Source organism: Homo sapiens, chromosome 21 (assembly GCF_000001405.40).
Source record: "Homo sapiens chromosome 21, GRCh38.p14 Primary Assembly".
NCBI classification, from domain to species: domain Eukaryota; kingdom Metazoa; phylum Chordata; class Mammalia; order Primates; family Hominidae; genus Homo; species Homo sapiens.
The window spans coordinates 37,822,941-37,835,382 of NC_000021.9; the positions used below are offsets into that span (position 1 = coordinate 37,822,941).

The 12,442-nt window shown below is 46.9% G+C and overlaps 1 protein-coding gene across 1 annotated transcript in view, besides 2 other annotated features; it reads right to left on the reverse strand.

Moving 5' to 3' along the window:
• KCNJ6 (potassium inwardly rectifying channel subfamily J member 6) overlaps positions 1-12,442 on the reverse strand; it is a 309,085-nt gene that overhangs the window by 215,568 nt on the left and 81,075 nt on the right. The gene's annotated exons all lie outside the window — the stretch shown is intronic.
• Positions 5,420-6,142: an enhancer, noted in NCBI's record as "H3K4me1 hESC enhancer chr21:39200662-39201384 (GRCh37/hg19 assembly coordinates)". NCBI's record gives its function as "activates a minimal SCP1, AML or CMV promoter by ChIP-STARR-seq in naive and primed H9 embryonic stem cells {active_cell/tissue: H9 hESC(naive and primed)}" and the evidence as "EXISTENCE:reporter gene assay evidence [ECO:0000049][PMID:30033119]".
• Positions 6,143-6,865: an enhancer, noted in NCBI's record as "H3K4me1 hESC enhancer chr21:39201385-39202107 (GRCh37/hg19 assembly coordinates)". NCBI's record gives its function as "activates a minimal SCP1, AML or CMV promoter by ChIP-STARR-seq in naive H9 embryonic stem cells {active_cell/tissue: H9 hESC(naive)}" and the evidence as "EXISTENCE:reporter gene assay evidence [ECO:0000049][PMID:30033119]".

Consider the following 12,442-nt stretch of genomic DNA (forward strand, 5'->3'; position numbering starts at 1 on the left):
TTTGAACAACTTGTCATGCATGAAAATTCCTTCACAAGAGCTAAGGAAACCAGGCAAGAGACTATAGCACCAGGGGTTAGCACAGAAATAAGAAAGGACATGTTGAAGAGGGAGGGACAGATTCACATAACCTGTGTCACCCTCCCCTAAACCCGAGCAGCACAGCATGGAGAGAGATGGCAGGCAGGCCCCCAGCCCCAGTCTGCAGGCCAGCACCTGCCGAACCAGCCCCCACGGCCACCCCAACACCAGGCCAGAGCCCTCAGACTTAGGCTCTGGGCACACCTGAGGCTCCAGAAAAATGCTGCAATAAACATAGGATTTGGAAAAGAAGGAAATTCTGTCACTTGCAACAACATGGATGAACCTGGAGCACATTATGTGAAGTGAAATAAACCAGGTACAGAAGGACAAATACTGCATGATCTCACTTACATGTGGAATCTAAAGAGTCCAACCCATATGACATGGTTTGGCTTTGTGTCCCCACCCAAATCTCATCTCAAATTATAATCTCCATAATCCCCACATGTCAAGGGAGGGACCTGGTGGGAGGTGATTGGATCATGGAGGCTCCTTCCCCCATGCTGTTCTTCTGATAGTTAGTGAGTTATCATGAGATCTGATGGTTTTATAAGTGTTTGACATTTCCTCCTACACACTCTCACTCTTTCTCTCCTGCCGCCATGTGAAGAAGGTGCCTGGTTCCCCTTTCGCCATGATTGTAAGTTTCTTGGGGCCTCCCCAGCCATGTGGAACTGTGAGTCAATTAAACCTCTTTCCTTTATAAATTATCCAGTCTCAGGTAGTTCTTCATAGCAGTGTAAAAATGGACTAATACACCATAGAAGCAGAGAGTAGGTAGAATGGTGGTTCCCAGAGGCTAAGGGATGGGGAGATGTTGGTCAAAGAACACAAAGTTTCAGTCAGACAGCAGAAGTTCTGGATGCTTACCATACGGTATGGTGACTGTGGTTAATTATTATGCATTGTATACTTGAAATTGCTAGATCTTAAATATTATCACCACAAAAATGATGTTTGTGAGAGGGATATGCTAACTAGCTTGATTGAATCATTTCACAATGCGTACATATATTCAAATATCACATTGTAAATATATACAATTTTATTCATCCATGATATCTCCATGGAGGTGGGGGGAAAAAGAGACAAATGCATTTTTAAAAAGGGAAAGTTCTTGACACAAAAAATGCATATTTTTGTTCTGGTTAATGTAGAGAGTCAGCCTGTGTCAGGACAATTCAAAATTCAAATTTGAGAAATCACCAGAATTCCTATAGGCCAAGTCCTTTCTCTTAATGTCATATTTAACACCTTCATAATTTTTATGATATGACTGTTAGACAAACACAATTCTGAAGTAAAACTGTCATTCAGCAGTTTTACTTCAACCTCTCTCCTCGTGTTCAACTCCTGTCAGAAATGACCAAAAACTGGATGGCTTAAAACGATATAAATTTATTCTGTTCTGTAGATGAAAAGTCTGAACTCCAGGTGTAGGGGGTGGGGGGCAAGTTCTCTCCCAGGCATCTAGGGGAGTGATATGGTTTGGCTCTGTGTCCCCACTCCAATCTCATCTGGAATTGTAATCCCCACATGTGGAGGGAGGGACCTGGTGGGAGGTAATTTGATCATGGGGGCATTTTCCCCCAAGCTGTTCTTGTGATAGTGAGCTCTCATGAGATCTGATGGTTTTATAAGTGACGGGCTTTCCTGCGCACACTTTCTTTCCTGCCACCATGTAAGACGTGCTTGCTTCTCCTTTGCCTTCTGCCATAATTGTAAGTTTCCTGAGGGAGGTCGCCTAGCCATGCTTCCTGTTAAGCCTGTGAGTCAATTAAACCTCTTTTCTTTATAAATTACCCAGTTTCAGGTAGTATCTTTATAGCAGTGTGAGAACGGGGAGGATCCTTTCTAAGGATTCTCCCTAATACAGGGAGGGTCCTTTCTGGCTTCTTCCAGATCCTGGTGGCTGCTGACCGTCCTTGGCTTTCGTGGGTTTACTCCCCAGTTTTCAAGGCCGGCATCTGTAAGTCTCTGTTCTGTCTGCATGCCAACTCCTTCCCTGTGTGTGGTCAAATCTCTCTCTGCTTCCCTCTTACAAGGATACATGTGATTGCATTTAGGGTCCACCTGGATGATGTGGGGTATTCTCTCCAAGTCAAGATCCTTACTTCCATTTGCTGAGATTTTTGGCCATATAAAGTTTGGCCATTTAAAGGTTCCAGGAATTAGGATCTGGATCGTCGAGGCCAATTTTTAAATCTACTACAGTAGTTAAGCAGATTTCTATACCGTAGGACATTTTGAAACATTTATTACACTAAATATAATTCACTGAGAATCTCAAGAGGAGGGCTAAGAACTTCCTAAAATTGTTGAATCTTCAACACCCTTCTTCAAGCCTGCTTTAAAAAAATTTATCCTGAGGCTACCATGAGACTAAAGCCTCTAGGAGTACTTCAGAAAATGTTATCCTATGGATAACTGGGCAACATTTCATATATACAAACTCCTTGTCTAGCACTCAATACCTCACTCGATCCAACCCCATCTGTCATTCCTAGACTTTCTCTTACTATTTTCTTACTTAAAGTGTTCACCTTTAGTATGTTCTGATCACTGTTCTCCAAACACATACTGTGCTTTCCTGCCTCTATTTTTTCTCCTAAGTGAATGACCACTGTATTCGTCCGTTTCCACACTGCTAATAACAACATACCCAAGACTGGGTAATTTATATAGAAAAAGAGGTTTAATGGACTCACAGTTCCATGTGGCTGGGGAGGCCTCATAATCATGGCAGAAGGTGAGGGAAGAACAAAGGCGTGTCCTACATTGAGGCAGGGAGAATGAGAACCAAGCAAAAGGGGAAACCCTTGATAAAATCATCAGATCTTGTAAGACTTATTCACTACCACGAGCACAGTATGGGGCAAACTGCCCCCATGATTCAATTACCTCCCTCTGGGTCCCTCCCATGATGCGTGGGAATTTTGGGAGCTACAATTCAAGATGAGATTTGGGAGGGGACACAGCCAAGCCATATCAGCCACCTATCCCCTTCCCCACTGCACCCCTAACTTGCAGCACTGTGACCCCTTTCTCTCTTATTAAGTCTGGGCATTCTCCAAGGCCCAGCTTTCTCTAAGTCTTCCTTAATCCCCCAAGAAAGGATCTCCCCTTTTCTAAATTTTAGCTTTAGTGTTGAGGTACCCTGGGGTCAATAATAATCCAGTATAGAAATGTGCGAATAGTTACTTTTTTTGTTTTACAAGCACCTTCAAAGTCATCCCTTGATTGATTGTGTTGTCTTTGCAATATGGAAACTGGAGCTAAAACAGGAAGTTAAAATTACAGCATAATGTTGGGGTTCCTCCAGGAAGTGGGGCATTTCAGGTTGAACTTCATTTGATACCGTGTCTTAGTTTAAAAAAGTGAAAAAGTGGAGTCTGCAGGTGTGCCTCTCTCACTTGGAATCTCATCATCTATTTCCTTATGATAATTAAGTCTTGTTCAAAGTAGTGTTTAACTTTTTATGTCAGACTCACAGGTATGGCTCCTGTTTTGTAACTTACCTCTTCCCCCCTCCCTCATGGTACCTACTGATAAATACTTAGTGACTACTTGGTTATTTCCAATTTATTAAAAAAAAAAACAGATTTTTAAAAAGAGAATGCAAGGAAGAATCGTGTAAAATAATTCTGATGAATGCAACTCTCGATTTACTCAAAGAAAGATTTCTTTCTTCCTTGATGGCCTTAGAGTAACATTTCCAAATCTGACAAGAGAAAATAATGAGAAAACCTCCATGGGAGAGATTAGAGATGGGTCTGAAACCTTTCCTCTTATTAAAGCCAAGGAAACAGGGTGGGGAACACACACAAGCAGAGAGTAGCCTGGATTTCTTTCTTAAATCCAGACTCGTTTTGTCCTTTTCACGTCTTACTGAGAGTGTTCTTGTTAAGAATGCGTGGTGGAAGAAGGGACCGCAAAGGCTTGTCCCTGGGATGTGGGGACTCAGCGACTCTCAGGAGAAAATAATTTTGGGAAGGAGATTATTGAAGAGTCAGGGCACAGTGGCCTCTGGGTTTAATTGGACACTTCTGAGTATGAGAGCTATAACCTGAATTAAATAAATCTCCACTAAGAAAAATATCCCTAGCAACTAAGCAGGGAATGATATTTGGTTTGGGTTTGACTTCAGGAAATCAAAAGTGTGCTTTATCTCCCTGAATTCTGTGAGCTGGACTGTGTGAGTCCAGGAAGCAATCACCCTCTATATCCCCATCTGTCCAAGGGGAGTGTGTGGTACCAGGAGGGAAGCACTTGCATATTTGGCAGGAAAGATCACTAGTATTTAGCAATGAAACCCACAGGTATACTCTGGCAACAATGAGATTTCAGGTGTAAGGTGCAGTGTTACTTGTCAGAATAAACGTACTGCAGGTAACAAACACCACATATCCAAATCCCGTAAGTAGTAGAAATCGATCAACAAGAATTTTTTAGTACCTAATGGAAATTTATAAAATCATAGAGTGACATCATAACCCTTGGGTTTTTTTTTTAACCTCGAGTCTTTAAAAGGGTTGAATACAGTACAAGGTGATAAAACTCAACAATATGAATATTATTATAATGGGCTTGAGTTGAGAATAGTAAGTAAAACAAGGTATGGAAGATAATGATACTTTGTCATTTTCACCTTTGTTTGAGTGCCTGATATGGGACAGTTGCTATGTTACATGTTTTATATGCATTATATATTAGTTTTCAATATATGAATATATTATCTCTCTCTCAGCTTTCAGTGTATCTGTTAGTTTATATACACAGGGAACATAATCAAATGCAGTTATACATATTTATATATGTATAAATATACATATTAGCACACATGTGCACATACCCATTAGCTTTGTGTATATTATGAAACCCAGGTGGGGAGCTGGTATGATCAGTGGCAGAAACTCGGACCAGAGGGGTTAAGTGAGTTGCCTGTAGCCTCACAGCTAGGAGGTGGCTGGGCCACAGTTAGATCAGCTCTGTCTGTCTCTTAAGGCCACACTGACGTGCCTCACCTGATAAGCACTACACCCTCTGTGGACGGCAGGGATGTTGTGCTAATTGTGGAGAAGCCTTTATGAATGCAATTCTGGGCTGCAGAGAAATTCTGAGTCAATATTTAAACATGTAGATATCCCCAACCCCCAACACCTTTGAGCCTGAAATGTCATATCTTGTGATAAAGGTGACATGGAATCAGGAAAGCACACCGGGGTGTAGGTGGTGATGTTTTTACTGCTGAACATCCCGGACGCCTTGACTTTTTCCTCTCTGGGAAGCCATCGAGGAGGTGGCTTTCTCCCACTGGTGCCATCCACCTTCATCTGAGTTTAATTCCCCGCAGCACTGGAAGCCAGGGTGCTTCCCCGGCCTGCTTCCCTTCCCCAGCTGAATTCAGGGAGCCTGTGGGCTGTCCCAGCTCACACACCTGTCACCAGGGAGAAGGCAGGCCTGGGAGCTGGGGGGTGATGGATTCTTGATGAAAAGTCCCTGAAGAGATCAGTTTCCTTTCGGTGACAAAGTAACATGAGGCAAAGCGGGCTGCATGAGGTGAAAAGCAAATTCCTCCAAGCAGGTGTTTGCATCAGTCCCGGTCCGGGAGAGGCCCATGGCTCTGCGTGGCAGGCTGTCCTCCCCACCCTCGTAGCTGCGCTCTGCGGAGTTTCAGCCTTTAAAATTCAGTGTTCTGCTGCTCCCTCTGACCATCTGCTCACTCAATTTCCAGAGCTGAGGCTGAGGCTCAGCGCTTCCTAAACATGCTGCCTTCTCCCAGCTGTGGACTGTCCACGCTTCCCTGATGAGTTAGCCATCTACTCTGTACCCTCCAGGCTGTCTACCCTGCACCCTCCAGCTTTTCTCTTGGCCACACATCTGGGCATCTCTTCCAAATGGCCATTTGTTTGCAGGTCCCATTTGTTTGCATGGCCATTTGTTTGCTCTCTGAGGGTGCAGGGAAAGGCTGGCACCCCAAAATCCAGCCATGCAGCCTAACCCAGGGCCTGTGCCATCCTGGGGGAGACTTCCTCTCCTATTGCCCTCTGCCTTGCCTGGGTAGAACCTGCTGTTACCAGAGGTTGATGGGAGGATGAGCAGAAGTGGGAGTGGCGGGAGGTGGGGGATGGAGCCTGAACCAGGGGTGGAGGTGGTGGGAGGGAGGAGCGGGCTCTTGGAGCCAGGTGGCAGATTGTGGGAGGAGGGCGGGAGGGACAGTGAGACACAGTGAGATGGGGTGGCAGTTGGTGGGAGGCGGGGAAGGCGAGCGGAGGAAGTGTGAGGCAAGAGAGTTTAAAAATGTGTTTATTTACTTTTCTACTTTGGGCTGGAGCAAAGGCAAGTGGGGGTAGGTGCCTTTCATGTTCCCTCTGGGAGCTGGGGGCCTCCAGCTTTGGAGAGGTGCTTCTGCACTTGGGTTTGGTTGGGGCTCCTGGATGTCACCTGGGCACCCCACTGGCTTGGAAGGGGCTGGGAACACATCCTGCTGCTGGGTGTGTGGGGGCCAGGGGGCAGTGATGGAGACAGAGGCAGAGGTGTGTGGAGCTTGTGGCCCCAGTGATGATGGTGGCCGCCTGGCTCAGGCCTCTGTGTCTGAGTTGCCAAGCTGGGCTGGTAATGCAGTGACTCATGTTGTGAACAGCTGCTTTGCCCATGATTACTTTCTGTAAGAGGAGTGGCAAATGAGGAAGGCCAAAGTCCCTGTGAACCCATGCGAGAGAGGAAGACACTGGAGTGAAATGCTCCATGGAGGCTTTGCCCACGCAGGGGTGCCCCCGAGATGGGGGCAAATGGAACCAAGTGAAAAGGTCCATAGCTGCCCCAGAGCCGGGCTTTCCATTACCAATAACTTGGAAAGGCAAAATGAGTGAGAAAAATTATTATTGAGGAAGTCATCGGGCAGGCCCTAAAACCTGCTGTTGTGGAAAGAATGACACTCTCGTTCCATGTTCTGGGAGAAAATGGCCAGCTCTGCTCAGAATCAGGGTCCCCGCCTCCTCCACCTGCCCACTTTCCTGCTCTCCTGTGTCTGTCAGTCCCCAAGGCAGTGGTATTTCCAACTCCCCGACAACACCATCACGATGGAAAAATCAGTGCATCTTTCTGAGCCTCAATCAGATCATCAATTAAATACAGATTCTTATGTCTGAATTGTCTCCACAGTCAGGTGGCTGACCAGACAGACTCTCCTGGTGGCTTCCTGGAGTGGTTCAGGTTGATCATCCCAGTGTTAGGCAAGTGGAAGGTGGGAGGCCGTAGCCTGGAGACCACAGGCCTAGGGAGGGTCTGAGACTGACTAGCAAATCCTGCCATTACTGCAGAAGAATAAATGCCTGGGTCTGTTTGGCCTTCCTCTTCCTTCCTGGTTTCATCTACAGCATTGATTTTCAACTACTCCCCTGGGGGTGACTTTGCTCCCCCAGGGAAAATTTAGACATGTCTGAAGTCACCTTGTTGTCATACCTAGAGGGAGGGTGCTACTGGCTTCCGGTGGGTTGAGGTCAAGTTGATCATCCTACAATTCACATCAAGAATTACACAGCTGACAAATCTCACTGGTGGCCACGCTGAGAAAGCCCAGTTCATTCCTTCCCAGTGCCAGAGAGAAGGTGTGGGCATCAGAGAGGTGAGTTTCTTACCAACCAAGTAAGGGACATTCATCAGAAGGTGAGGGGCAACGTGATCTCCAAGACAGCAGAAAGAAAGGAGATGAATTTTTAGGTAACAGTTTTAGCCCCATTTCCATTTGCACAAAGACCAGTAATAACTTACAGGAATGTCACGCGTGATGGTTCTAAAATTTTGCTGTTTTGCAAACCCCTGCATGTTTGTACCAGTTAAATGCTTTAAGCCACATGCTCATTCTGGATATGGCAAGGGAGGGAATTGCATTCTTATTTGGAAATGGCCGTTAGGGGGAAGATCCTGGGCAGTGAGTGCAGGAGGCAGCAAATAAAAACTACAGGATCAAGAAAGTCCCACCCTGAGGGACATGGGAGGGAGAAGAAGGGAGAGCAGGCAAGGCGGGAAGCCCCCCTTGCATGGAGACATGGCTCAGGCCTTCTAGTCCATTTCAGCCCTGTCAGCCTCAGAGGTAGGTAGGATCTCTGATTCCAACTGAACATGCCTGTAATCTCAACCAGGAAGCAATTATCCTTGAGTTTAAAAGATATTTTCCAGTAAGGACAAACGTATCTCACAGTGAAAAAATACCAGCTTTTCAGAGGAGCACAGACAGGGAAGAGCCTACTAGCTTGCTTTTGCTTTCAATCAAAGGCTGCTTTTCTGCCTAATGGTGGGACTGAAATGATACATTGTACAGGGACTGCACTAATGTGATGAAGAAGCATAAACGAAGTTTCTGCTGCTGCTCCCAGCCAGCCCTTCTTAGTATCCACTGAGTGCCTCACTCCCCTGGTCCTGCAGGTAACCCAGCAATGAATAACAAAAGAGAGGCTGAATCCCTCAGTTACAAGTTGAGATGACAGGAGGCAATTTGGCAAGCATGAGCAGACAGGGGTGGTGAAGGAAAGCTCTTGGAGCCATAGGAGAGCATGAAAACCCGCCTCTAGGTTGGCCTTCAGGACCTGTTCCCAGAAGTACATGGCAGAAGCTCTTGGTAAGGGAATGACTGCTTCTGTTAGTACCTGTGCTGGCAACTCAAAACCTGCACCTGCCTCCAGTCCTGTAGCTCACCTAGCTCAGCTCACCCTGCAGGAGGGGCACACGGTCCTGGGGCAAAGGAGGCAGGGGAATGCGCAAGGAGGGGAAGTGGAGAATTGTCAGAAGGCGGTCTTGCGGGGAGAGACTGGGCAGCCTTAGTGATACCTGCCCACTATGGAAGAGGAAGGCAAATGAGAAGGGAGGTTTTGGAGAGAAGAAAGGCAGTAGAGGGAAGTAAGTACCATTCTGCAGGGACAGTAGAAGGCACACTGATGGACAGCTGAGGGGGATGGAGTCCCTGTGGGACTTTAAGAAGACCCCAAACCTCCTTTATAAAGGAAGTATGCCTCTGGTAGGGACATAGCAATGTTTTCCTGGGTGGTTGTCACTGCAGAGCTCATTAGACAATAATCAGAAATAAAACATCACAGCCATGTCTTAAAATATGTAATGGCAGGAACTGAGTTGTCAAGAGTAATGAGTTTAAGTCAAGTTACTTTTGAGATGATGCTATAACTACCTGTGTGAGTGTGAACCTGAGATAAGGATCTTAGTATTTAAAGTGCCTAAATTTCATTGGTAGGGAGAAAGTGCATTTTAAAAAGCACCATCTAGTGGGCCTGGAGTAGCTTTTGTCCCGGGGGATAAAGGGTCATTTAGCACCTTAAAGACCATATACGATGAACAGCTCTGCCCCGCGTGAGGTGACACAACGTCTTCCTCGGCCCTTAACTCCCAGCCCAGCTACAGGATCTACAGAAATCTACAGGATTCTCCCATTGTCAGGAACCCTGGGACCTCCGGATGAATGGGCTCCCATCTAGAATTCTGACACCTGCTTTCCTGGCTCTTTGTCTTGGTTGCTGGGACCCAGGCTTTGTCTTTGTAGGCAGGTGGTTCTGGAGGCATGGGGCAGTCATCTGCTCTCTGACGGTCAACTCAGGTTTTCCCCGTGCCCATCCTGGTCTGTCTGTCCTCAGGTCCCTGCCTCACCCTTAACCTGCTCAGCTCTGTATCTGGTGGGGGGCGGGGAAGCTCTGTCAGCTGACATCCAGATAGGCTTAGCCAGTGGGGGCTCCACTGGGAGCCTGGAGGTCGGTGGGAAGAGAGAACAAAGGTATTTCTCTCCCTCTTCTTGGCCTATAGAGGCGTCTCTGGCAGTGACCATACCTCCTGCATGGCTCAAGCTTTCATCAGACAGGTAGGCTGTCGTTCCAATTCTGTCGCCCCTTTCCATCCCTATGACCTAGAGGTAGTGGTGGTCCCCAGCCATTGCTGAGAGTAGATTATCTCCCTGTCCCCCAGTCTGGCTTCTCGGCATTTCTTTTCTTTTCTTTTTTTTTGAGATGGAGTTTCACTCTTGTTGCCCAGGCTGGAGTGCAATGGCGCAATCTTGGCTAACTGCAACCTCCACCTCCCGGGTTCAAGCAGTTCTCCTGCCTCAGCCTCCAGAATAGCTGGGATTACAGGCATGTGCCAACATGCCCAGCTAATTTTTGTATTTTTAGTGGAGACGGGGTTTCACCATGTTGGCCAGGCTGGTCTCGAACTCCTGACCTCAGGTGACCCACCCACCTCAGCCTCCCAAAGTGCTGGGATTACAGGCATGAGCCACTGCACCCGGCTGACTTCTCGGAATTTCTAGCATGCAGTTCAGCCCCTCTGTCTTCTGGTGACCATACATCCTCCTTCCAAACACAGAGTGGAATTGTGCCCCCTTCATCTTGGAAGTTAGGCGAGGTTATTGACTTGCTTTGGCTAATGCAATCAGAGCAGAAGTGACATGTGTCATGTGTCACTTCTGGATGGAATTTTAAGATGCAGTGTCAATATACCATGTGCTCTTCCCCACCATGGCCATGGATGTGAAAACGCAGGTGGAGATGCAGCCTCCGAGACTGTGGGGGTCCCAGGGTGACCCTAACATGTCCAGTTCATGGCTGACCAGTGTGGACAAGTGGCATAAAGGAGAAATAAACGTGTGTGCATATGCATGTACATTCAGCCACAGAGATGTTTTTGTTATTGCAACATAACTTAGCCTCATGCCACTGATATACACACACCTGCCCTATTTGTATCCTAGAGAGTAGGGAGTTCTTTCCCAAAAGGCACACTGACTGTGGACCAAAAATAACTCCAAACAACTGAAGCCTGTGCCTAACAATGGAAAACCCTAAACTCAATATATTTGCATTTGAACCAATTGTAACAGCTTATCAAATGACTCCTTCTACCACCTGCATTTCTAGCCCTGGGGTGTCTCGAAAGCTTCGCCAAGCCTCTCTCCTAAGCTCAAAGTCCTTTCTTGTCCTCCACTACATCCCACTGGTCACCACCTCTTAAATTCATTTCAGATCCACTCTTGTCTAGGTCCCCAGAGCCTCTCAGCTCATGTGGTGTGCCAGCTCCTGGATTCTTTCATCCGTGTATGCCCAACCTGCAATCCACGCCATGATGCCTCAGTGGATTCCTTCTAAAATGCTGATCTTCTTTGAAACCTTCAGCACTGCCCCATTACCCACAGGAAAAATTCAAGCCACATACAGGCCCTTTTATAATCTGACCTCTCCTATCTGCCCAGTCATCTGCTATCAATGCTTTGCTCTTCCGCCACCTCTGTCTTCCTGCATGACGTTCTAGCACTTACAGTCCCATTGGCTGCCTGGTGGAACCCTGATCATCCTTTGGGTGCCTTTTTGATGCAGGAGCACACTGGGGTCTGTAAAAGGAAAGCCTCGTGGCCTGCACCTGCAAGCTACAGCGACTTACAGGATGCTTCTGCAAGAACGCATGCCACATGTCATAGCTGTTACTCTCTTGCCTCCTTTGCCCCCAAATGTTGCGCCTGGTGCAGGCAGGAACCCCATCTTTTTGTCTTTCTGTGCCTTAACACAATGCCAGAGCTATAATAACCACCCCATAAAAAAGGGAATAAATGATTAAAAACCACTCTGCTTTAATTGAGCTAATTTAATGTGTGGTGATTGTAATTGGTTCTCTGTCTTCATTTCATCTGACACAACAGCATTTCAAATCTGTACTAAATTTGAGCTGTTTCTTTAGTCATAGGAGGAATTCCCTCTATATCAAAGCAGACAGCCAAGACCTCTGAACCCCTCACAGAGCAGGTCCTTGACTCTTTGCAGAAAAAGAAACCATAGTCTTTTTGCCTGTTTCTGGCTGGATGAAGATTCAGCCCCTGGAGCTACTCAGAATAAAGCTGCTGCTCTGTTATTTATTTGGAAATGATGAGTACCTCTTCTCTGCTCCATGTGGATGTGTTATGGTGGTGATTTCAAGGTGGACCATGCCCAAAGGGATGGCTGGGGTAGAATGGCTCATGACAACAACCCCTAGGGACGCTCTGGCTGCCAAGGAAAAGTGGGGAGTGGGCATGCCTGAGAGAGACTGGCAGGATAGAGACAGAAAGCAAGAGGAAGCCAACTCCTTCTGCCAAGATGCAGAGACAGCCACAGGTAGCTCAGGCGGCCCCCACTTACTGATGCAGTAATGCATGGCAGACACACAACTGATGCAGAGAAGGGGACAGAAGTGTGATTTCAGCTTGCCAGCAGAACCCTGAGGTTGGAGGTGGGGGGTCCTAGGGAAGGGATCCTGCAGCCAGGAGAAGACATCAGGGCCAAGTCCACTGCCTGTTCAACTCTTGCAACTCCAACACCATGCACAAGAC